Raw genomic sequence first — 23,746 nt, 5'->3', positions numbered from 1 at the left:
TCTCTATCTACATATATATATATATAATGTATATAATATATAGTATATATAATTATATAATATATAATATATATAATGTATATATAATTATATAATATATAATATATATAATGTATATAATATATATAGTATATATAATGTATATAATATATAGTATATATAATTATATAATATATATAATATATATATGTTTAAAAAGAGAGAGACAAGCCACAGACTAGAAGAAAATATTTATAAAGCATATATTTGATACGAGACTTGGATCCAGGATATATAAAGAACTCTAACAACTCCATAGTAAGAAAATAAACAACCTAATATTTTCAATGGGCAAAAGTTTTTAAAAAGACACATCACCAAAAAAAAAAAAAAAAAGATATATGGAAGACAAATAAACACACAAAAATATCTTCATCATTAGTCATTAGGAAAATGCTAGTTTAAACCACAAGAAGACACCATTCCATGCCTGTTAGAACGGCTGAAATTTACAAGACTGACCATCCCAAGCATTGATGAATTTGTTCAAGAATTGAAAGCCTCGTAATAACTTTTAAAAAAAGTTAAACACACTTCTACAGTATTAACCAGCCATTATATTCTTGGGCATTTACCCAGGAGAAATGAAAGCATATGTTTCTACAAAAAATTGTACACGAACCAAAAAGGCTAGTCAAGACTCCCTGAGTTGGCTTCACAATTTATCCATGGGTTGCCACCTACGGATTGAAAAGTTCCACCCAAGCTCACCCAGATGACTGTCTGAGGGCCTGGAATGTTTCCTCCAGGGATGAGGGTGGGTTTGCCCCGGGCCTGAACCAGCTGCCTTTGCCTCCTTCCTGCTTCATTCCCTTGATCCTTCACCCCTCGCTTCCTGGGACTACACTCTACTAAAATAGCACCTAAGCCTTAGCCTCAGGCTCCACTTTCTGGGGAATGCAGAATAAGACAGACCCGCTTAGCACAAAGTTCACCCAACGCCTTGCCCTGGGTCCCCAGCTCCTGCTCCCTGGAAGGATGATAAATGACCTGACCTTCCATCTCCCCTCCTTCCTCCTCTGCTTCTCGGCCACCTGATCCCCTGTACTCTGGAAGGCATCTCTCCCAAGATGCTGCTTTCATTTTTCTCTCCATCCAGCCACCTCTGACTTCCTTTGGTTACAAACACCAGGGCAAAGATGTCTTTTTTTGGAAGCAGTTTCTTTGAGGTCTCTAGCTGAACAGGATTGCCTCGGGCTATCACAGAAGTTCCAGCGCTAGAGATAAAACGTTTCTCTTTCCAGACTTCATAACCTCTCATTCTCTTGGGCCAGTTTCTTAACAGCATTTTCTGATAAAAGTAGACCCTGTGTGTTCCACGACCCTCCGACTCTGCCCTCTTCTCCAGCACCCAGTGCCCACAGCTTCCCGGGCTTCCCTGCAGCTGTGGCAATCGGCATGGGGAGCCTCATCTCCCAGCTCCCCGCTCCACACCCCACAGTGACCTCTGACATCTCAGCAGAGGTCTTGGACCTTGATTCCTGCTTTCAAGCCTTCTCTCTGCCATTCTCCAAGGCTTCATAATGCTGAACAGGCTGTGGGGTCAGGGCCAAGCACCCCTGGCTCTGGACTTAGATTGATGTAGGCTGGAACATCAGCTCGGCGCTTACTAGCTATGGGTCACCTTCTAACCCACTGTGCCCTGGTGTCCTCATTTATAGAGTGGGCAGGATCACATGCAGCACCTACCTCATTGTGTGAAGGTTAAATAAGAGATGCACGTGAGCCCTTAGCACAATGCCTGGCACATAGCAAGCTCTCAGTGAACAGTAGCGTCTTGGGTGGACACAACCCAGATGGTGAGATCCCCCTGAGTCCTCCTTCTCTCCTCCTTCCTCAGTCATAGAACCCAGAACAGGGCTGGGCACATTGAGCTGAGCTGCCTGGAAATAATGCCACCCAGCATCCCCTGGAAGTGGGCATGGCCCTGTGGCCAAGATGGAGCTGATGAGCAGTGTGGGAAACGTGGTGTCCCGCTCTGCTCCTTCCTTCTCCTTGTTGGCTGGGATGCAGATATAATGACTCTAATACCTGTAGCCATCTTGAACCATGAGGCAAGGCCAAGGTGGAAACTAAACACGATGGGTCAAGGTAAGAAGACCCCGGGGAACGCCACACCAGCCCTCCCGACCTCTGAAATTTGCAAGCAGGAAAGAAAATATACTTCCATCTTGTTTAAATCACGATTATTTTGGGGTTTCCCTGCGACAGCCAGATCTAATCCTAACCAGTACAGCTGGGAGAGTGATTAAATCCAATAATCATGTAACAGGCCTGATGTAGGATACAGGGGCTTCCCCTGATCAGTAGCTTCGTTATTAACCTTGACCTCATGCCACCTGCTTGATGTAATAACCCATCCAACGCTGGTCCCTCTCATGCCCAAGGGCTGCCCTGTGGCCATGCCAAGCAGGACCTTGACCTCCCAGGACTTGCCTCCCTGTGACAGAGGAACCAGGAAAGACGGCTCCTAGGACCCTGCTGTCCCCATCACCCTCTTCCCCACCTTGGTCCATCCACAGGAGCCACAAGCCCCAGAGAGCCTGAGTCAGGAGAACATCACAAGGAGAGACCCCTGGAGTGGCTGCTGGAGAGGGGAAGGGAGCAGAGGGTAGAGGGGGCAGGCGGCAAGCGGTTTCCATACCTGGAGCTGCCTCGTGGCCAGGGGGAGCACAAGGAACAGAGAGAGAGACAGCAGGTTAGTGATGATTCGCAGACAACACCCCATGCAGGCAGCTCCTCTCTGGGGCCCCCAACCCTGAAGATGGGGTTCTAATCTCTAAGCCTCTCCTGCTTCTCTCTGCCTCTAATCTCACAGAACTCCCAAGTCTAGCCTGACCACCCCCCCATCCACCGAAGACGCCCTTGCTGGGCTTACATTGTCTATTGATCTGTTTCTTGGAAGGGTGGAAGATTTAGTCACAGTCCTCAATTAAGGAATCATTTATTACGAGAGTCCGGGAGACAAGCTGTCAGCTCCTAGGCTGGGTGTCTTTAAATAGCAGTTAGGAACTTTTTGTCCTGAACTGGTTCATGGGAGACATTTCCAGCATGCAGGGCTGGGGCGGGAGGAGGGCACCGCATCCTGGAAGGAGGAGATGCGGGACCCAGGCGGGGGCCTGTGCCGAGCAGGCTGGTGCTTCCCGCGCGCAGGGGCCGCGCTCACCTTCCAGATGCTCGCCTCCTTGCCGTACACCACGGCCATGTTGCTGGCCTTGCCGCCTTTGATGAGCCGCTTCTCCGTCTCGTTGAGCTCCTCGGACACGAAGCCCATGAAGGAGTTGTCGGGGGTATGAGCTGCAGCCCGAGCACGCAGAAGGAATGGGGTCACCAAACAACCAAGGGCAGCCCCAGGCCTCCCTGGACTGCCCCGCCCAAGAGGTCCTCTTTTGGCAGGGGTGGGAAAGGGGGCGGGGCACAGGGTGCGGTGGGGAGGGTGTAATCAGTGCCCCGGCCTGTGACCCCCTTCCCGGAGACTGCTACAAAGATCAGAGCTGAAGGAAACCTAGGCCTGGCATGGTGACTCACGCCTATAATCCCAACACTCTGGGAGGCAGAGGCAGGAGGATCCCTTGAGCCCAGGAGTTTGAGACCACCCTGGGCAACATAGTGAGACCCTGTCTCTATTTAAAAATTTAAAAATCAGCCAGGCATGGTGGCACGCGCCTATAGTCCCAGACACTCGAGAGGCTGAGGTGGGAGAATCGCTTGAGCCCACTAGTTCAAGGCTGCAGTGAGCTGAGCTATGATCGCACTGCTGCACTCCAGCCCAGGCAACAGAGCAAGACCCTGTGTAAGAAGAAGAAAGAAGGAGAAGACAAAGAAGACGAAGACAAAGACGAAGAAGGGGGGGGGGAGGAGGAGGAGGAGGAGGAAAAAAGGAGGAGGAGAAAGAGGAGGAGGAGGAACAGGAGGAGGAGGAAGAAGAAAGAAGGAAGAAGCACCACCAGCAGTAGCAGCAGCAGCCTAAGAGGTCATCAAGTCCCCCTGTTTGAGGCTGAGGCCCCCGGGTGACCAGTAGGGACTCTGCCCTCCTCACAGTCCCTGGAGCCCCAAGCTTCTGACCCATCTTTTCGCCCTCCACCTGCGCCCATAGGCAGCATCTGTCATCCCAGGTAGAACTTTCTCCACCTTCTCCGTGACTGCACCCCGGCCTAGGCCATATCAGCTCTCAATGGGACCACCCTGACAGCCGCCTCCTCATTCCTGTGGCTCTCTTGGTAGAGTCTTTTCTCTGAAATGACAGTTTTGAATCTAGGCCATATCAGGTTCCTCCTCCGCACAAAACCCCATATGCCAAAGTCCGCCCGACAATCACCAGGCTCTGCCTCCATTTCTCTCCCACCGCACCTTTGACCATCCAGCCCACCCAGAGCCCTGCTGGACACAACCCCTCTCCATACAGAACTGTGCTCATGGGCCTGTGAGAGGTCTCTCCTGACCCCAGTCACTCATTGTCCCCTAACAGCTTTATTTTTCATCACAGCACTTACCGACCAGACATTAGACTATACATTTATTTGTTCATGTATCATTGTCAGGATAGGCCAGGTGTGGTGGCTCATGCCTGTCATCCCAGCACTTTGGTAGGCCAAGGCAGGTGGATCACCTGAAGTCAGGAGTTCAAGACCAGCCTGGCCAACGTGGCAAAACCCCATCTCTACTAAAAATACAAACATTAACCGGGTGTGGTGGCGCACACCTGTTATCCCAGCTACTCAGGAGACTGAGGCATGAGAATCACTTGAACTTGGGAGGCGGAGGTTTCAGTGAGCTGAGATCACGCCACTACACTCCAGCCTGGGCAACAGAGCAAGACTCCATCTCCAAAAACAATAATAATAATTGTTAAAATAAAAGCACCTTGTGGACAATGGTTCTGTTTTGTTCACTTCTGTGCCACCAGCACCTGAAACAGAGCCTGGGCTGGCTTTATGAATGCTGGACAAAGATGGATGAGACAGGGGAAAAGCCTCCCATTCCCACCTCCAAGCGTTGCCCCTGCTGCTGTCCCCTCGGCCTGCACTGCCCTCCTCCCTTGTCTCGGATGAGGAAATTCTACTCAGCCTTCGGGGCCCCTCTCACACGACACCTCCTCCTGGAAGCCTTCTCTTGGGTGGACTGTGCCTCCCTTTGTGGCCCCATCTGCGGCAGTTAGGTCTCTGTTACAGCAGGGATTGCCCCGGGATTTCCTCGCCATTTGACTTATTTGTCCATAAGGACACACACCCTCCTACACACCAAGGCCAGGGAACATGTTTGATCTCACGCTCCAATTCCATGGCCGTGTGTGGAGTGCAGTGACTGCTAAAGCTCTGTCCGCCACGGAGGGGTTAAGAGGAACATGAGACCTACGAATCTGCAGGCACACGAGCCCTGCCTTCTGCGCACTGGGATCCCGAATAAACCGTTTATTGAGTCCAAGGATATTTAATCTACCTTCCCGCACGGAAGGGGCTATGGTGAGTGAGGAGGCTGGGAGCAGCTGCCCAGCCTTGATTTCCCACAACAGCCTTGATTCTAAATACCCTATTTCTTCATTTCGAATGCACATCCCCCACATTTTAACGTTTCTCCAATTGGGATGCATGCTTTCATCAAATGTGTAAATCTACTGTAGTATTCCCACCCACCCCTCAAGGCCCACAAGACGTAATAATCAACATCTGGTACAGCTTAGAAGAGATGATGCTTTCCTGTGTAAGTGCCCCCAAAGCTCACAGATTCTTGGGCCTGAAAATTCAACTACAGAACCAAACGATCTCTCCTCTAGAGCTTTGGGAGGGTCAGGAGGAGCCCTGGAAGCCTGGAGTTCTTTCTGTGGGTGGTCAGGGTCAGGACAGCTCTCCCATCTCAGGAGGCTCTGTCCATGCCAGGCAAAGCAGCCCCTGCCCGACCCTGTTTACCTGTCCGGCACCATCTTCCCCTCCCCTCTGGCTTCTCCAAGACTGCCACCCAGCCCTCTCCCCTGTTCCCACCACTCTCTGAAGCTGAAGAATCTTTCACTAAACTGCCTTCATTCCACCAACTCCACCAGAAGAGGCAGATTTAGAACACAATTAGCTAAGCCAGTCAGAGAGGGACAGGGAAGTATTGCAACCAATTAAAATAACAGGGACCATTAAGCCAAGAGCTCCTGGGGGCAGAGCGAGGGTAAGGCCAGGAGAGGCAGCAGCCCCCCAGTTAGCTCCCTGGAGAAATCAGCCAGCTAGATGGGAACAGGCCTGCTCATGACTTCCTTCCTGGACTCTGTGCCATTAAAACTGGCCAGCCTCCCTCTTCCCTTTTGTCCCCACTTTCTTCGATTTATCCAATCAATTAATGTTCTCTGAGGACCTAGGTTGGCTCCAGAGAGATTGAGATAAACCAATTAGTGGCCCCTTTTTGAGTGGCTCATGATCTATCAGGGAAAAGAAATGTATAAGCAAATAACTAGCATACTTCAACATATGCTTTAACGGAGTTAAGTTTAAGAATTATAAAAATAGAGGTAAAGAGGCAATACATTCTGCCAGGAGTAGGAGATGAGGGGATCAGTGAAAGTGATGGTAAAAAGAGGAGACATTTCACTTGAGGTTTTGAAGGATGAGTAGGAGTTTGCCAGGTCTGGAAATCCACATCCAGCGGGCTCCACCCTGGGACAAGTCCTCATTTTCTCAGTGCAGGATATTGCAGAAGCCTCTTAACCCATCTCTGCTTCCCCCTCCTCCCTGCTTCATCATCTTTGGCCACCTGCAGTCCGACAGGATAATACACCTCAATAAAAATGTTGCCCTGGCTGGGCACAGTGGCTCACGCCTGGAATCCCAGCACTTTGGGAGACCGAGGCAGGTGGATCACCTGAGCTCAGGAGTTCAAGACCAGCCTGGGCAACAAGGTAAAACCCTCTCTCTACTAAAAATACAAAAATTAGCCAGGCTAAGTGACGTGTGCCTGTGGTCCCAGCTACTCCAAAAGCTAATGCACAAGAATCGCTTGAACCCGGGAGGTGGAGGTTGCAGGGAGCCGAGGTCGCGCCACTGCACTCCAGCCTGAGTGACAGAGTCTCAAAAAAAAAAAAATTATTCATGACATTCTCTAGCTGAAGAACCTTCAGTGGTCCTCCGACGTGAATTCAGGAACCTTGGCTAAAACACCCCACTCCTCGGTGCCCTGATCCTCCATGCTCCTCTTACCAGCCTCCAATCTGACTGCTTCCCTTCCTTTTTTTCTTTTTTCTCTATTTTGTTTTTCCCCCAAGACAGAATCTTGCTCTGTTGCCCAGGCTGGAGTGCAGTGCCACGATCTCAGCTCACTGCAACATCCACCTCCCGGGTTCAAGTGATTCTCCTGCCTCAGCCTCCTGAGTAGCTGGGATTACAGGCACCCACGACCACACCCGGCTAATTTTTGTATTTTTAGTAGAGACGGGGTTTCACCATGTTGGCCAGGCTGGTCTCGAGCTTCTGACCTCATGATCCGCCTGCCTCAGCCTCCCAAAGTGCTGGGATTACAGGTGTGAGCCACCGCGCCTGGCTTGACTGCTTCCCTTCTAAGTGATCTAAATACCCAAGCTTCTCAACTTCGTAGCTTTTCCTCTTCCACAGCCCGGAGCACCATCATTTCCTCCCTGCCTCTATTTCCACTCCCCATTTCCTTTCCCTCCAGAAATCTGCTCCCTGTGCTTGCTCTACCCCAAGCACTCTTCTGCTGGGAGCACAGTAAGAAGTCTCATGCAACCTTGAAACGGGCCCTGCAGAAGGAGTCTGGTCCCGACTGAGCTGTGTGACCTCAGGCTGCATGCTCTACCTCTCTGGGCCTCAGTTTTCTCATCTGGACTGCATGAGCCCCAGGAACCTTCCCACTTTCCCAACCTTCTGGGATTCAATGATGCCATTACTTATTTATTCAAAAATCACATCTGCCCCTAATATAGCCTAGAGTCTAGAGAATCAGAAAAAAAAGAATAGTCCAAGCACCCACAAGAGATGCCATGAATTTGACAGGCCAAATACAAATCACATACTTTACTCACAAGCAAGTCCGTCAGGACTCTGCTCAGAGTCTACGTTGCTCTTACTTTAACAGATGCAATCCTAACAAGGCTACTTATCTAGCTTTCTGGCCTGGAGCCTTGAAAGAGCCACACGCAAGATGCTGCTGGAGGCAGATGTACTGACAACAATTAAAAGTGACAGCTGAGAGCCTCCCAACAAGGTGGAAGAGCGCAGCGTGAACCAGACACGAGGAGGGGACGCAGCTCCGCACACCTCTGCCGTCCAGAAGGGCAGGCCCATGCGCCCGGGAGGCAGAGAACTGACCCTGAGCTGTCAAGAAAAGGTGAAATTGTTTTCAGTGAGCTGCGTTTAACAGGATAGGTCAGTGTGTGTATACATTTTAGAGTATCATTAAAAACAGCTGAAACCCGGGCACGGTGGCTTGCACCTGTAATCCCAGCACTTTGGGAGGCCTACGTGGGTGGATCGCTTGAGCCCAGGAATTCAAGACCAGCCTGGGCAACCTGGTGAAACCCTTTCTCTACAAAAAATATAAAAATTAGCCGGGCATGGGGGCAGATGCCTGTAAAGCCAGCTACTCGGGAGGCTGAGGCAGGAGGATCACTTGAGCCCAGGAGGTCGAGGCTGCAGTGAGCCGAGGAGATCACACCACTGCACTGCAACCTGACCAATAGAGCGAGATCCTGTCTCAAAAAACAAACAAACAAATAGCTGAAGCCCAGCTCCACTCACGTTCCTTGCCTGGAGCCCTGGAAGCCAAGCCCAATCCTGCATTTCCAGAACCTTCCAGTTCTTCCCACATCCCTCTTTACTGCATCTGTTCCCACTGCCTGCCTGCTCCTTTCTACCCAGGGAAGTTCTCCAGCTTACTCTGGAAAGCCTCTCTTTCTGGAAGGCCGCGGAGTCCCCCGTGTTCTGGAACTGTGTGCCCAACCTCCCTCCTGGAGGGTGAAGGCTACATCTGCTGGAGTCGGGGAGGTCACCCCGCCCTGGACACCCCCTCCATGCTTCCTGCTCCCCAAATAGCACCAGAGGCTTCCTTCCTGGTTCACACACTTATGGAGCAGGAGAAGGCGATGCTTGCTGGGTCCCACCAACCCCACTGGCTGGAGAAGGAAAGAGAGGGAGGAGCGAGACCCTGGCCGCCTCTCGTGTCACCTCTGAGAACCATGAGGAGGACCTCCGACCCCACCCCTGCCCTGTGGGGCACTCACGAAACATGGTCATGAACTGCTTGGGGTTGAGGTTCCAGTAGCCCCAGTTGGTCCGGTAGCCGTGCAGCGTGGCGTACTCCTCGTGGTTGTACGCAGGTTCCGTCCCGAAGGTGTCGATGACCCTGATTCGGCACCTGCCCCCCCAGGGGACCAGGAACCAGGGTCAGCAACCTCCCCGTGTGTCCCTGGGCTGAAGTTGCCCCAGCCACGAGCACTGTCACCAGCCAGTGGTGGAGTCAGAGTAGCACAGTGTGTGTTAGCACTTGGACTAGGACACTGCCCTGCTGTGTGACCACAGGTGAGTGTCTTCACCTCTCTGTGCTGCCTCATCTGTCCAGTGGGAAAAACAACAGCCCAATTGTCTCAGGGTTGTAGGGAAGCTCCTGACCCATGGTCCTTGGTTAGCACTCAGGAATTGTAGCCATTACTGCCACCCAGAAGGGAGGCACTGCTTGGAGAGGGGGTCCCTCTCTGGTGTCCCCTGGGTCCTCTATACAATTTGCATCTGCCTGGGTAGGGAGTCATAGCCCCTCTTCTCAGGAGCCTGACACCCCTGGATGTGCCCAGTCTATAGGGCCAGGATGCAAAAGGCAGGGTCCCAGGCACTGCCCATGGGCTGTCTTTGGGAGGGCAGCGCTTCTGAGCCTCCTCTGCAAGGCTGGTCCCAGTAGGGCTGGACCCTGCAGCTGGGCAGAGGCTCTGCTCCACAGGGCCCTTCTCCCTCTGCTGTCTCCAGGGGTGGAGGCCCAAGTTCAAAACCCAGAGGGGTCTTGTCCCTATAGATAAGCCAACCACAGGGCCAGACGAACTCCGAGGCCATTCTCAATGGGCCACAGCCCCAGAGCCACCCCCTCTGCCCTCCCTACTCCCTGGAAGGGGCACCTGAAAAAAAGTGCCAAGACTCAGAGGCCCTGCAAGGAGCTCCTCACCCCAGCGTCCTTCCTGGTGACCCAGAATTGTCTGCAGAGTGCTGAGGTTGGCACTTTTCCCCCAGGGAAGAGGCCCGGGGTGGGAGGAGAGAGCCGAGTGCATAGAGAACTCGCATTAATAATAAAAGCAATAACACTGCCTGTCACTTTTTTCCCTAATAAAATCATGTGGGATCGTCAATGGGACTGGAGCACACGTAATAAATAGCAGGGCTCTCTGTGCTAAATTAAGCCCCACATCCCACTGGCTGCAGTGAGACAGGGAGCGATGGCCTTGGCCTTCCTCCAGACGGAGAGAGGGTGGGGTGGAGGAAGAGAGGGGTGTGCTGAGCTGCTCTCCCCACCCCAAGGTCCCCACAGCAGGGTCACAGCCCAGGTTAATGTCCTGTTCCGTTATACTCTTCTCTTCAATTCCTCAGCTCCGCTCCATGTAGATGACCCCGGCCTCCTGCCCCCAGCCTCAAAGCAGCAGAGGGGTGATGGAGCAACTCCCTGGGTGGTTTATTAAATATCATTGAGTTAGCCGGGAGGCAGACACGGAAGTGGCAGGGGAGGGGAGGGGAGGGCGGAGGGCAGGATGCAGGACAGTATGTTCTCCCACCTGGGCCCAGCTGGCTGAGTGGGGACGTGGGGGCAGGGCGTGAAGGAGGAGCTTTCTCCCCTGGCATGTGGGCCACGTGCCCACCCTCTGGCCGCCCTCTCACCGGTACTTCTTGAAGGAGAGTCCCATGTGCCGCTTCATCTGCTGCAGGCCGTGGTAGTCGGTGTAGATGAGGTCGAAGGGCAGGGGCATGGTGAGCGGGCAGCTTCCCCGGCCTGGCGGTACCCCTAAGTTACTGAGAGAAGAGCCCTTCAGATTCTGGGCCCCAAGAAACCCACCTGCCCAACCGGCCACCCCAGTTCCTTAGAGCCCAGAATGAACTGTACAAGTGCAGAGAGCTTAGCACAGACTCTCAGAAAGGAAGTGAGCAGGATGGCCCTGTACGGTAACGTAGGTTTTTCACTGCACAAGGCAATCCAGCAAGGGGCAGGTGGGACTGAGGTCAGCGTGGGCTCCCGTGCACCCAGCCTGGGTTACCTGCCAGGAAGAAGGGGCACCTTTTGTCATCGACACAAATGTGCTCCCGCAGGGCTGTGGCTACCCAGAGAGGGAGCCTTTCTCTAACTTTCACAAATCCCATGGATGCTGGCGGCAGTCCTCAGCGCAGCTACGTGTTTGTCTGGATGAGGGCCCCAAACCTCCTGCCTCAGAAAAGTGCAGTCTTGCAGTGCTGACTGAGCTCCTGGCGCCCAGGGCTGGCTGAGGCCGCGAGCTGCTGCAGGCCACTGGTTACCTGCTTCCCACCCCGGGCACCGCACAGGACCTGCCTGCCTTCACCTGCCGGGTTATTTACACACAGGTTTTCATCTGGGACAAGGTTGCCTCTGGTGACCTGGAAGACGCAGCTTGGCCAGAGGAGGGGTGGTGCCCCTCTGCCATCTGGCATCCCATCCGGCTGGAGCTGCTGGGTCATCTCCTCCTGCTGGACCCCCCAGGCCCCCAGCTCCAGGGGTATGGACAGGAGGACATGGAAGGACATGACCACACCCCATGGCTTCCTCTAGAATCCCCACATCTGCTCAGTCCACCTCCCTGGAGAAGGGTTCAAAGCCCCCTGTCCCAGCAGCCACAGCTGCCAATTTAAATTCCTCTGCCCACAACCCCCCCTGCCAGCATCCGTACAAACCAGCTCCTCCCGCCAGAAGCCCCTGCTTATTCCAACTCCACAGCCTCGGTTTCTCCCCTGCAGGGGATGACGAGGCATCCGGTCACTTATTCATTCAGTTAAGTCTATGCCGAGCCCCTGAGTCAGGTGGGATGTACCGTCCTCCGCAGAGACGGCCCTTCCACGTTCCCATCCCCACTCCACCAGAGGAGGACGCCCGGGAGCTCAGAATGCATGCAGAACCCGGTCAGGCACCCGCTTCCCCAAACACCCCCTCCCCACTGGGTCCTCAGGATAATTCTCTTTAACAAATGTTTCTTGAGTGCACGTCGGGTTCCAGGCCTTTTGCCCACATCACGAACTCAGAGACACGTGGGATGTGTCCCCAGCCCCAGGAGCACAAGCCGTGTGAGGTGTGTACACCTGGGGGTGCTGGAGCAGAGATCTGATCAGCGTGTGCTGAGGCACGGTGGAGGCGTCCTGAGGAGAGGCCCATTGGTGGAGGGATGGGCAGGGGGGATGCCCAAGCAGAGAAGGCCACGTGCCCTGTCTTCATCTTCCTCTCTCAACAGCTCTTGGTGGGTGCATCACCTCATGGGGCTGGATGTGACCATCCTTTGCTCCCAACCCAGACTGGGAAGCAGCCAGGCCATCGGGTCCCATCTCCCGGGGATGCCCACCTCCCCAGGATTCAGGGTTCAGGTGCCAGCCAGCTCTGCAGGAGGCCCAGGACACCTCCTACTAGGGAGGCCCTTCAGGGACCCACATCATAAGCAGAGTCAGGCTGGGGAGGTGATGAGCTTTGACAAGGTCACCTCCTCATTAACGGCAAGTGGCCAGGATTGGTCAGTTTCCTGGGCTGTGTCTGGGCTCCTTGAAACCATTCAGGCCAGGTGGAAAAGTACCGGCCTGAAAGGTGCATGCTCGCTTTGCGCATGCTCAGAAGCTCGGGGAGGGGACTGTGCGCACCATCCCGTTAGCACACCGTCCAAAGTGGTGCCGTGTCGATGATGTTTCTGGTCACCTGCCGACAGCGCTGTGATGGAAAGAGGTGGAGAGAAGCTGCCAGCACAGGGACTAAGCCATCAGAGGTCAGCCTCGCCCTGCAGAGAAGGGCAGCAAGAGGGGAGGCGCTTTCTCTGGGCCTTGCCCCCCACCTCCAGCTAGTACCCCCACCAGCCTCCTGAGCTGTCCCCACACTGGCTTCCCCGCCATGTCAGAACCTTTGCTGCTAAGTGTGAGAGGGGAATGTGAAAACCTAATCACCATTTCCTCCTCATTTCTTGTCTATAAACTTAAAAATGGCCAAGGGCTCCTCCATCCCTCCAACCTTCCTGTCTTCCCCTCCTTCCAACACAGACCACCTGCCACACGGGATTCTCTGATCCAGGGCTTCTAAGGCAGTGCCTGCCTCTTCAGCTTTTTGGCTGAAATACCCAGAAAACAAAGGAGAAGAAGCACAGACCCCAGGGGTCTGGAGCCATCACAGGGAACAACTCCCACAACCTGGAGACTTCATGAAATATTTGGTGGTAGGTTTAAGTGTTGAACAAATTCTGCATTCACTCTGCAAGACATCCCTGTTGTTTCCTGTGAAGCATGGACTTTCTCACTCCCAAAACTCCTCCAGTAAAACTGATGGCCCAGAAAGAAGCTTCATTTGTTTGCCCTGGGGCTCCAGAAGTCCCCTCTTCCTCACCTCCCCAACCCAACTGAGAACCACACACAAAAGGACACAAAGACACTCCCTCTGTATCCTTCCTTGCAGAAACCAGGAAGGGGGTGGCTGCTCCTCCCACATGGAATCTGGGTCTAGTAAAATTAAGACAATCCTGAAAATACAAACCGTAGGTGGGTCTAGGAGCTGCTACCTGCACCAGGAACATGACTGGCTTCCCTACAGATCTCTGGTTGGTTTCCAGGCAACATGTTATCTCTCTGTCCTGGGAGCTTCCTTTTGCTGCCCCATCACTGAGCACACCTCTGACCCTAGTCCCAGACACCAGGGCCACTGAGAGGACAGAGGGGTTGTAGCACGTCACAGCCCTCTCCTGGGAGACCACCACGCTGCGGTTCTAAGGTGAGTCCATCATCCTCGCCATCTTCAAGGCTAACGTTTTGGACACAAGCATCATTCCATGTGCTTTCAACTTACTGATTCATCAGCTCCTTTCATCTTAGCAACTACCCTACCAGATCAGACCCATTCTCATCCTGTTCCCATCTTTACAGATTAGGAAACAGAGAGGCTGAGTAACTTACCCAAGGTTACACAGCCAGGAAGGAGCAGAGCTGGGATCAGAGTCTTTATACAATGGAAACTTGATCACATCTCCCAGGGGTTCTGACCCTTTCCGAGGCTTCCCACTGCCTCTGAGCCAGGACTTCGAGGATGCTTCCCCACCTAACCCCTGTGGAAGCAACAGCTGCAGCCCCTGCACCACACCCTGCGCCCCCCAGGATCTGCAGCAGCCTCTCCAGCACAGGCCCACTGGGTGTGCATGGAGGGAGCAGGGAAGTGGGTGGAAGGTGGACCCCCGCTGAGCCCCACCTGATGCAGGACCCGCTTGGGCAGTCAGGCCTCACCCCATGAAGTATCAGCCCTAAACCTTGGCACCCAGATCCAGAGCCGGGCAGGAAAAGGGGCCCCCTGCTGAGCAATCGCTTCCCCCATGCACACCCTGCTCAGTGTGAAGTCAAAGTCTTGACTAAACCAGAAGAAAGGGAGGAATATTAACGGATGGGGGAGAAGGAATCTACAATAAGACAGCAGCTGTCACCAGTGTGCGACTAAGATAAGTGAGACCGGACACTTCCTGTACCTGTCACACGTGAGGCCAGGTGCCGCAGAAATTTCAAGGTGGTCCCGGCCAAACCCTCCCCTCTGATCCTACCAAGGTTCTCCTGCGACGGTGCCCTGTTTTCACAGAAACTGTTCCCTGGGTCTAGAAGACTCTTCTCACCTCCACGTGCTTAACTCAAATATTGCCTCCTCCTCCAGGAAGCCTTACCTGAGACACCCCTCCCGCTATGCTCCCTCCATACCTGGGACACACCTGGTCAATGTCCCAAGTCACCTCTTCCCACCTGGAGGCCCCTTTGAGGAGGGCAGGGTCAGGTCATCTTTAACATTCAGGACCAGGGACAGGACCTGACCCACTAAACATCTGCTGTATTTATGAAGCTATACACAAAGTGGTAGATGAGAAGAACTGGTTTCAATGTTTAATAGTTGGCCAAGAAAAGCCTCTCTGGAGAGAGAGTATGGGTGAGTGAGGGGCCCAGGGGTGAAGGTGCCTTGGTCACTCACTGGCCTTTGGGTCTGGACCTGAGCCCAGTGGCCTTCCACGTGCTCAAAGGACATCACGGGAGAGGAGGGAGACAAATCGGCCCGGAGACAGCAGCATCCCCTTCCCAGGAGGAGTTAAGGAGAAGCCCACATGTCCCCAGCCCTGGAAAACAAGGATTTTCAATGGAAGGGCAGGACGTCCCTGGAGGTGTCTGCAGCGGCCTCATTGCTCTTATCAGAAGAAATCTGAGCCTCACCCCCTGGAGAGCAGAGAGGTCAGCTGCTGGGAGAGGAGGCTGTAGTTTTATCACTTGTAATTTAAGTTTACTTTCATGGGCAATTTTACGCTAAGTGATTGGCTGGAGCAGTGACATGAATTGAAAATGCCGTCCCCCGACAACCTTCAACCAAAGGTGCCCGGGAGGCTCGGCTGTGCATTTCCACCAATCCTGCTGAAAACTCAAAACACTCCCGTCCAGACCTTTCTGCACCTCCAAGGCCAAGTCCTCATTTCTCTTGTACTCTCAGTCAAGGGCTGGGTCAAGAGGACGGTTCAGCAGCCCCCACAGATAGGAGGGTGGTGGGGGGAGGACCTCAGGGGCAGAAGGAACTTGAAATGCATCTGCTGCATACCCCTCCATCTGCCCACTGCCAACAGCCAGTGCTTGGGAAGGACGGGGAAGTTTGTGTGGAATTGCCAAACTGGCTGGTTAGAATATATTTCTGAGTGTCCCCAGGCCAGATGAATAGGAGTCTAAATCCCAAGAGGAAAGGGGTAGGGGTAGGGTGGTCCAGGGGAATGGAGCATTTCCGCAGGTCACCTGGTTAGAGTTGGCCCCTGCACTGTGCCCAAATTAATCCACCCGGAAAAGCTACCCTCTCGGGGCAGGAAGGAATAGGAAATTATTGTTTAATGGGTATGGAGTTTCAGTTTTGCAAGAAGAAATCTGGAGATGGATGGTGGCGATGGTTGCACCACAATGCGAGTGTGCTTTGCCACTGAACTGTGCACTTCAAAGTGGTTACAGCAGCACATTTTATGTTATGTGCATCTTACTACAAGTTTGTAAAAAGCCAGCCCGGCACAGCGGCTCACGCCTATAATCCCAGCACTTTAGGTGGCCTAGGTGGGAGGATCGCTTGAGTCCAGCAGTTTGAGACCAGCCTGGATGACATGGCGAAACCCCATCTCTACCAAAAATACAAAAAATTAGCCGGGCATGGTGGCATGCACCTGTCATTCCAGCTACTCAGGAGGCTGAGGTGGGAGAATCGTTTGAACCTGGGATGTTAAGGCTGCAATGAGCTGTGATCACACCGTTGCACTCTAGCCTGGGCAACAGAGTGAGACCCGGTCTTAAAAATACGAATAATTTAAAAATAATTTTTAAGTCAACCCATTCACATTCCTGGCTCCCGTGCCAAGCACTCTGCCTCCCAGAGGGGCTGAGGTCCCATCTTCTCCAGCTGTCACGTTCCCCACCTGCCTGGGACTCCCAGCTGGCCATAAACAATATAGGGGCTCTGTAAATATCCAGGGAAGGACTGGCTCAGGCACTCTTTGCTAAAATATCAAAGAGGAGGATGGGGAGATGGGATGAGGGAGGAGAAAAATAAACCTTCACTTAATAGAAGAAACCCTCGGCTAGGAATTCAAATGCTGAATTCTGGCAATGAAAAATATCCCTGGGCAGGAGCTCCAGCAGGCATTTGCTGGGTAGCCTTCCACGAGCCACCACATCGCTCTGGTGTCCGCCTCCACATGTGGGACACGTGCTCAGGCAAATCTCCACGGTCTCTTCTAAGCTAAAAATTCCCTGGTTTTATTTCTCTCTGTGCCTTTGGTCTGTGGCTAGAAATAATCTCTCCAGGTAGTGCTCAAATTGTGGAACACACTATTCTCTCTCTCTTTCTCTTGTGTGGGAGGGACCTAATTAAAAAGAATCCTTGCAAAGTAGTCAGAGATCTTTGACTCCAGGGGCTGAAGTGCAGGCAGGATCCACAACTTCACTGGGTGCCTCTCAAGGGGAACACACAGCTGGGGCAGCCTGGGACGTTCTGTCTCCCCAGGGCCCTGAAATCCTCCAAACCTGACCAGTGCCCGTTTCCCAAGTATCATGGGCAGCCCCCAACCCTGCCATGGCCCATTACCACAACAGGCCACTGTCTGGTCCCTGACAGACCAGATGGGGGCAGAAAGAAGAAACTCAGAGGTTGAACTGGACATCTAATGAGCTGCTTTAGGAAGCAGGGGTTAGGATCACTAATGAGGAAAGAATTACACCGTCCTGCAGCATTTTCTTCCTGCCCAGGATGGACTGACCTCCCTGTACCCAACAGAAGCAGCCCAGAGTTGCTTTACGCAGTCACTGGGATGGCCCTGCCCTCAGCTCCCATCTCCTGAAAAGGCGATGCCCTTGAGCATCCCCAGCATGTACCCTGTGCCCTCGAGGGTTCAGGGCTACAGCTGAGAACTGCCAGGCCCCCTCAGGGTCCCTGGCTCAGAGGAAAAGGGAGTCCAAAGGCAGATGGAGGCACAGTCTGGGTGCTCTTTAGCCGAAGCTACCACAAAGCATGGGTGCGGGGGTGGGGGTGCGGTACAAGGCGTGCAGTTGTTGGGGGGGAGCCTCCGAAAGGGAAACTGAGGGAGCAGCGTATCCTCAACACTGCAGACCCAAAGTGGGGCTGGCGTCCAAAGCTGGCACTTTCTTCCCCAGCGTTCTTTCCTAGCAAGCAAACTCAGTGCTAAGAATAGGGCCATGCTCCCAGGAGAGCTGGAGGAGACCACACACTCACCCCGCTGGCTGCCAGCACGGCTGCAGGAAGAGGAACGGGAACTCGGCCCTCCGGTCGTTCCCAGTCCTCTTCCTTACAGACAGGCCTCAATTTCTAGAATAAATGCCTGTAAATGCTGAGCCCGAACCCAGGTTTTCTCATCCAGGCTTTAGCTCCTGGTGCTCAGGCCACCCCGAGGGTCCCTCTATTTGCTCCGGGCTGGGGCCTGGGCGTCGGGGATTATTTTCAGCTCCTCGGGTGACTCCTGTGTGCCAGGGGCTCTTGCTATTCTATCCGGTTCCACCAACCTTTGCTGAGAACCAACCTGTGCAGGGACCTTGGGGTAAGACTCCGCTGTCAATCCCACTCGAGCAGTCTCAGTGGGAGATGAGGGCCAAAAGCTAAGACGCAGCCCCTGCATCCTGGATTCGGATATTGAGGGCCGCTGGCTCCACGCTAGAGATGCCGAGGAAAAAGCAGTCTGGCTTGCAGGAAAATGCATTCCTTTTACCAAAGCTACTCTGACTTGAGGGGCAGGTGGTGATATAGGATAGTGTTTTGTGATCCTAAATAATCTCAAAATGGAGTCACTTATGACAAGTGACTCAGCCCACGGTCAAACTGCTGATCCTTCAAAGTGATAAATGTATGCTGGACTGGGGTGACGAGATACCTGCTGTGGGAAGGCACCCCCGAGACCCAACAAGAAAGTGAAGCCAGGGGCAGCTGAGAAATGACTATGGACGGCCCTGCAGAGGCCGGAGACACAGCAAAGAAACTGACTTCGAGGAACATTCGGACCTGCCTGGCTCATCAGTCAGCGCACTCGTATCCCGAGCCACTGGCCTGTGTGTGCTGAATATATTTGCAGTGATGGTTGGTGTGCAAAATCCTCACACTAAACCCGGACTTGAGAGCATTTAATTGGCCACTGAGTCACAGTGAAACCTCCCACCTGGCGTTGGACTTAGCACAACTAGGCTGACTCAAACCTGACAGCGTAGTCGGGAAGAGTGCTAGGGGGTTATTCGTACCACCCTGTGCTTCTGCCGGCTTCACCCAGAATAAAAAGCCCCAGACCAGCCCTGGCCCCAGTTTCTAAGAGGCGGGAACCCCTGAGTTTGACCCTTCCCGTGGGTGGCTCCTTCCAGTCTCCCTGACAGATGGTTCCTGAAGCTCGTCCACTGCCACCTTCCTCCTCTCCAGCCACCATCTGACAAGACGCTCTCTTGGTCTGTCCTTGGCAGAGGAAGAACACTGGTCCCCTCATCCCTTCTCGAGAACCCACGACCCCTGAGATTCACAGAGGCCCTGATGCCTCCTCCCCAGGGATGAATCCTGCCTCCGTCAGGAGCATCCAGAAGCCAGCCCTTCTCCTCATTTCTTTCTGAGTTTTTTCTTGTAGAGATGAGGTTTCCTTGCTCAGGTTGGTCTTGAACTCCTAGACTCAAGGGATCTGCCTGTAATCCCAGCCTCCCAAAGTGCTGGGGTTACGGGTATGAGCCGAGGGCCTGGTCTGTCCTCATTTCTTATCTGATCTCCCCAAGTTCTCCCCACTCCACCTGGGGTGCATGGATCTCTCATGAGGGCCAGCGACGTCATTTCCATGAGTCTTCCCTTGCAGCCCTCCCCAACACAGGCCAGGCCAGAGCTGGGAAAGGCGACACGGCACGGCCTCCATCGGTCTTGCTTATTGGTCAATGTTCAGACTTGGCCGGGGGGCCTTGACTTGCAAGAAACAGACTCCCTGTGACGCCAGCGCAGCGCGTGGAGCATGAGGGGAGGCGAGGCCCTTGCAAGGAAGGGTCTCTCCTGGATCCCGAGGAAGAATGAAGGGCAGGGGCCAGGGCAGTGCAGCTATGTGGAGCATAAGGGGAGACGAGGCCTTGCAAGGAAGGGTCTCTCCTGGATCCCGAGGAAGGATGAAGGGCAGGGGCCAGGGCAGCCCCAGGCCCCAGCAGCAGAGGCCCACGACATTTGGCGGCACTCAACGTGACCCCGCCACACTCGGCATGCCGGCGCCTGCTCCCTCTCTGTCCCCTTACCCGCAGTCTAGGTAGGTCTTCTGCCTACCCAAGTCTGAATTTCCTGGGGAAGGGTTCTGACCGCCAGCCAACTTGGGTCAGGTGTCTGGCTGCCAGGCCTCTCCGCTGGGATGTGTGCTCCTGCGCTCGCTCCCCGCTCAGCCAGGAGGTTAAAATGCCTCCTTGAAACTGAAGGAAGGGGAAGGAAAAAGGAGACAGGAGAGGGGCCGGGGATTTTTAGTGAATTGTAATCGTCGGCCTCTCGTGCCTCCTCTTGGAACGGGGAGGGTGATGCAGGAGAGCTGCCATTCACAAGTCTAGGTGCCAAGATGCGGTTCTTCCCCACCTTTTCCTAATCTGTGTGCTTATAAGTTACAAAATATTCCAAGCATCCAGAAAATTATAGAAAATCATATAATGCTCCAATGCGCCCACTTCCCAGCCTCATCAAGCCTTAACATTTTGCCATATTTGGTTCGAATCCTGTTTGTTTCGAGGGATAGCATATTACAAACCCTGGTAGAGCCCGAGGGTTGTTTTTCGGTCTTGTCCACTTCCTCGCGTCTCCCGCTGCCTCCACCTGGCTTGTGGGAAATGCTCTCCCCTCCGGCATCGAAGATAAAATAGAAACCGTCAGAGAGGAGTGCCCGATCCCCGGCCCCCAGCCCAGGCCCCCCACCCCGCTGCATTTACAGTATACCCTGGTCTCTTCTCCTTCTCTCCTCTCAGGGCAGAAGAGCTGTCCCTGTCCCTCCTCCTGGGACCCTCCCCTGAAGCCACTGCCAGCAATACTCTCTCCCTCCTATGTCCACAACCTCCCTACTGTTCTGGCTCCTTTGCAGCCACATTTAAACATGAGTGCACTCTCTTATCTCGAAAAATAAACAAGCACACCTTTGATCGTGGGCTGAACTGTGGCCGCTGAAGGAGGGTGAAGTCCTAATCCCCGTACCTGTGAATGTGACTTTGTTTGGAAAAAGGGTCTTTGCAGAGGTAATCAAGTTAAGATGAAGGCATTAGGGTAGACCCTAATCCAAGTTGACTGGTGTCCTTATAAAAAGAAGAAACGTGGCCGGGGGCAGTGGCTCACGCCTGTAATCCCAGCACTTTGGGAGGCCGAGGTGGGTGGAACACCTGAGGTCAGGAGTTTGAGACCAGCCTGGCCCACATGGTGAAACCCTGTCTCTACTAAAAATACAAAAATTAGCTGGGCATGGTGGCACATTCCTGTAGTCCCAGCTACTCGGGAGGCTGAGGCAGGAGAATCACTTGAACCCGGAGGTGGAGGATGCAGTGAGCCGAGACTGCGCCACTGCGCTCCAGCTGGGGGACAGGGCAAGACTCTGTCTCAAAAAAAAAAAAAGAGGAAGAAGAAATGTGGACACAGAGTCATGCATGGAGGGAGGAAGAGATGTGGACGTAGGGAGAACACCATCTACCCCTCTAAGAACACCTGCGGCTACCAGAAGACAGGGGAGAGGCTGGGACTGACGCTTCCCTAGTGCCTTCAGAGGGAGTCTTGATTTCAGACTTCCAGCCTTCAGGACTGTAAGAGGACACATTTGTGTGGTTTACACCCCCCAGCATGTGGTCTTTTGACTGGTCACCCCCAGGAGGCAAACACACCTGCCTGCGATTCTGTAACCCCTGCTCCTGCGCTCTTTCTCCTCCCGGCTCCTGGCCAAGCTCCTTGGAGGAGTGCAGACACTCACGACTGCTGTGTCCTCCCCATCCCGCCTTCCACACTCCCACAGCCCACTGGGTTTAGGACCTTTGTCCCCACGACTGCACCACAATGCTCTTTCCAAAGTCAGCAATGACATCTTTGTGGCCAAATTCTCTTTCTTTCTCTCTCTCCTTCCTTCCTTCTTTCCTTCTTTCTTTCTTCTTCTTCTTCTCTTTTTTTTTTGAGACAGTCTTGCTTTGTCACCCAAGCTAGAGTGCAGTAGCATGATCACGGCTGACTGTAGCCTCGACTTCCCAGGCTCAAGTGATCCTCCTTCCTCAGTCGCCTGAGTAGCTGGGACCACAGGCGCACTTGGCTAATTTTTTTGTTTTTGGTAAAGACCAGGTCTCACTATCTTGCCCAGGCTGGTCTCCAACTCCTGGAATCAAGCAATCCTCCCGCCGTGACCTCCCAAAGTGCTGGGATTACAGGAGTGAGCCGCCCCACCCAGCCTCATGTGACCAAATTCTTTGGACATTTTTCAGTCTCCTTCTTACTTGGCTTTTCAATGAGCAATGTGTTGCTGGCCACATCTCCTTCTAGAAGCATCTTCTCACAGGCACCCATGACTCCACATCTGGCTTGCTCTTGGCTACTCCTCAGTCTCCTTTGCCTGTAAGAGGCCTTTCTGTGTTGATATTTCCCAAGTCTGTGCCCCTCAAGCCTGTTTTCCCATCCTTTGACAATTTCAACCACACTGTGTTCAACCACTGTCAACGGCCAAGACCCTGTCTCCATGCCACACCTCCCCTGGGCCCGTCACCCAGTGGCCTCCATGGGGCACCTCTGTTTCAACATGTGTGCCCTAGACCCAGTGCTTTTCTCCTCTCCCCTCAGAGAAGAGCAGCATCCTCCGCCCTGGAGCTGGTTTGAGCTGCCCAGGTCAGCCTGGTTCTGGTCAGCTCAAGCTGGTTTCCAGCAGCTGGGCCCAGTTTGCATTGGTTCAGATCAGTCTGTGCCAGTCATATCCAGAACTGATCTCTGGGTTCCAAACCTAAGACCTGCCTCAGCTGGTCACAGTGGATTGTGCGGGAGGAAGCAGATGGAGTCCCCACCTTCGTCATTCTCTGGGGATCCTCCCCAGCCTTTCCTTTGGGCACCTGGCCCCAGGCAGGAGGCAGATTTCCAGCCTGGCTGCATGCTTGACAGCCAGGAGTTGTCCCTCCTAGTCCTCCTTACTTAAACATTCTCCTCTCAAGCTTTCATCATTTGCCAGTTAAGTCAACTAATTTTCTACTAAACCCAATTTCACTCATGGATGGAGAAAGAGCTCAGTAATGTTTTCTCATGCCATGTACTATTAATGATGCTTGAAATTGTGCAAATAAAATTGATGAGCACAGCTGATGCTAGGAAAGCAGGAAGGGAAAGGCTTAACTTTAAAACGCCCACCCTGGACCTGCACATGCACGAGGCCGTCTCAGGATGCAGCGGCTGGGCAGGCACTAGGGTTTGGCTTCTTCCCTCCGCACACGGCGGGGCGCGGGCGGGGACTGGCTGACATCACCTTGCTGCAGTCTCATCACAGAGCGCACGGCTCCCTCGTGCCACCTCCCTCACCCCGGAAGCATCTTGCAGCAGCAAAGCCAGATGTAGATCCTGCACATTGCCCCAAACGTCACTCCAGTGAGCCAGTTAATTGAAACACCGAGACCCGAGGAGCAGAGCGGGACCGGCTCATCCGTCCAGCCTTGTTGCTCCATCAGTGGCCAGGACATCTGCCGTGAACATCTGCGAATAAACTACAACAAATGTACAAGCCGCGTCTTTGTCCCACCGCCTCCCACGCAGGTCATTTCGCCAGCCAAGGGAGACATTTCTGTCGCAGAAACCAAGCTGAGACACTCAGAATTCAGATTACCTTCACATCCCATTGACCTGTTTTCAAATTAACCTGGTGCTGCTCCCACAGAACGGCTCCCAGGGCTGAGAGGTGAGGCCCTGGGTGCTTCTGCCTCTCCCTGAAGGGCTCGCGGTTGCTCGCTGGGAACTCTGCCCAGGGCCCCCCAGTGGTTGCCATCTTATTATGGGTTTACATTGTGTCCTC

General features: G+C 53.5%; 1 protein-coding gene across 7 annotated transcripts in view, besides 1 other annotated feature; it reads right to left on the bottom strand.

Moving 5' to 3' along the window:
* The window catches only part of MGAT5B (alpha-1,6-mannosylglycoprotein 6-beta-N-acetylglucosaminyltransferase B), an 81,990-nt gene that overhangs the window by 14,413 nt on the left and 43,831 nt on the right, over nucleotides 1-23,746 (bottom strand). For 3 of the 7 annotated variants that reach the window (NM_001199172.2, XM_006721707.4, XM_011524352.3), the window contains 4 exons: nucleotides 10,884-11,015; nucleotides 9,251-9,384; nucleotides 3,206-3,336; nucleotides 2,684-2,689 (listed from right to left, as the gene is read on the bottom strand). In NM_001199172.2, the coding sequence (NP_001186101.1) occupies nucleotides 2,684-2,689; nucleotides 3,206-3,336; nucleotides 9,251-9,384; nucleotides 10,884-11,015 (403 nt within the window). Of the gene's footprint in view, nucleotides 1-2,683; nucleotides 2,690-3,205; nucleotides 3,337-9,250; nucleotides 9,385-10,883; nucleotides 11,016-22,318; nucleotides 23,431-23,746 lie in introns of those variants that run through there. The other 4 variants (NM_144677.3, NM_198955.1, XM_047435383.1 and 1 more) reach the window with 3 other exon arrangements.
* Nucleotides 19,397-19,896: an enhancer, noted in NCBI's record as "H3K4me1 hESC enhancer chr17:74912167-74912666 (GRCh37/hg19 assembly coordinates)". NCBI's record gives its function as "activates a minimal SCP1, AML or CMV promoter by ChIP-STARR-seq in naive H9 embryonic stem cells {active_cell/tissue: H9 hESC(naive)}" and the evidence as "EXISTENCE:reporter gene assay evidence [ECO:0000049][PMID:30033119]".

This window comes from Homo sapiens, chromosome 17 (genome assembly GCF_000001405.40).
Source record: "Homo sapiens chromosome 17, GRCh38.p14 Primary Assembly".
Taxonomy (NCBI): Eukaryota; Metazoa; Chordata; class Mammalia; order Primates; family Hominidae; genus Homo; species Homo sapiens.
Note: the sequence above shows the minus strand (reverse complement) of the source record. Positions and strands in the feature narration are given on the sequence as shown.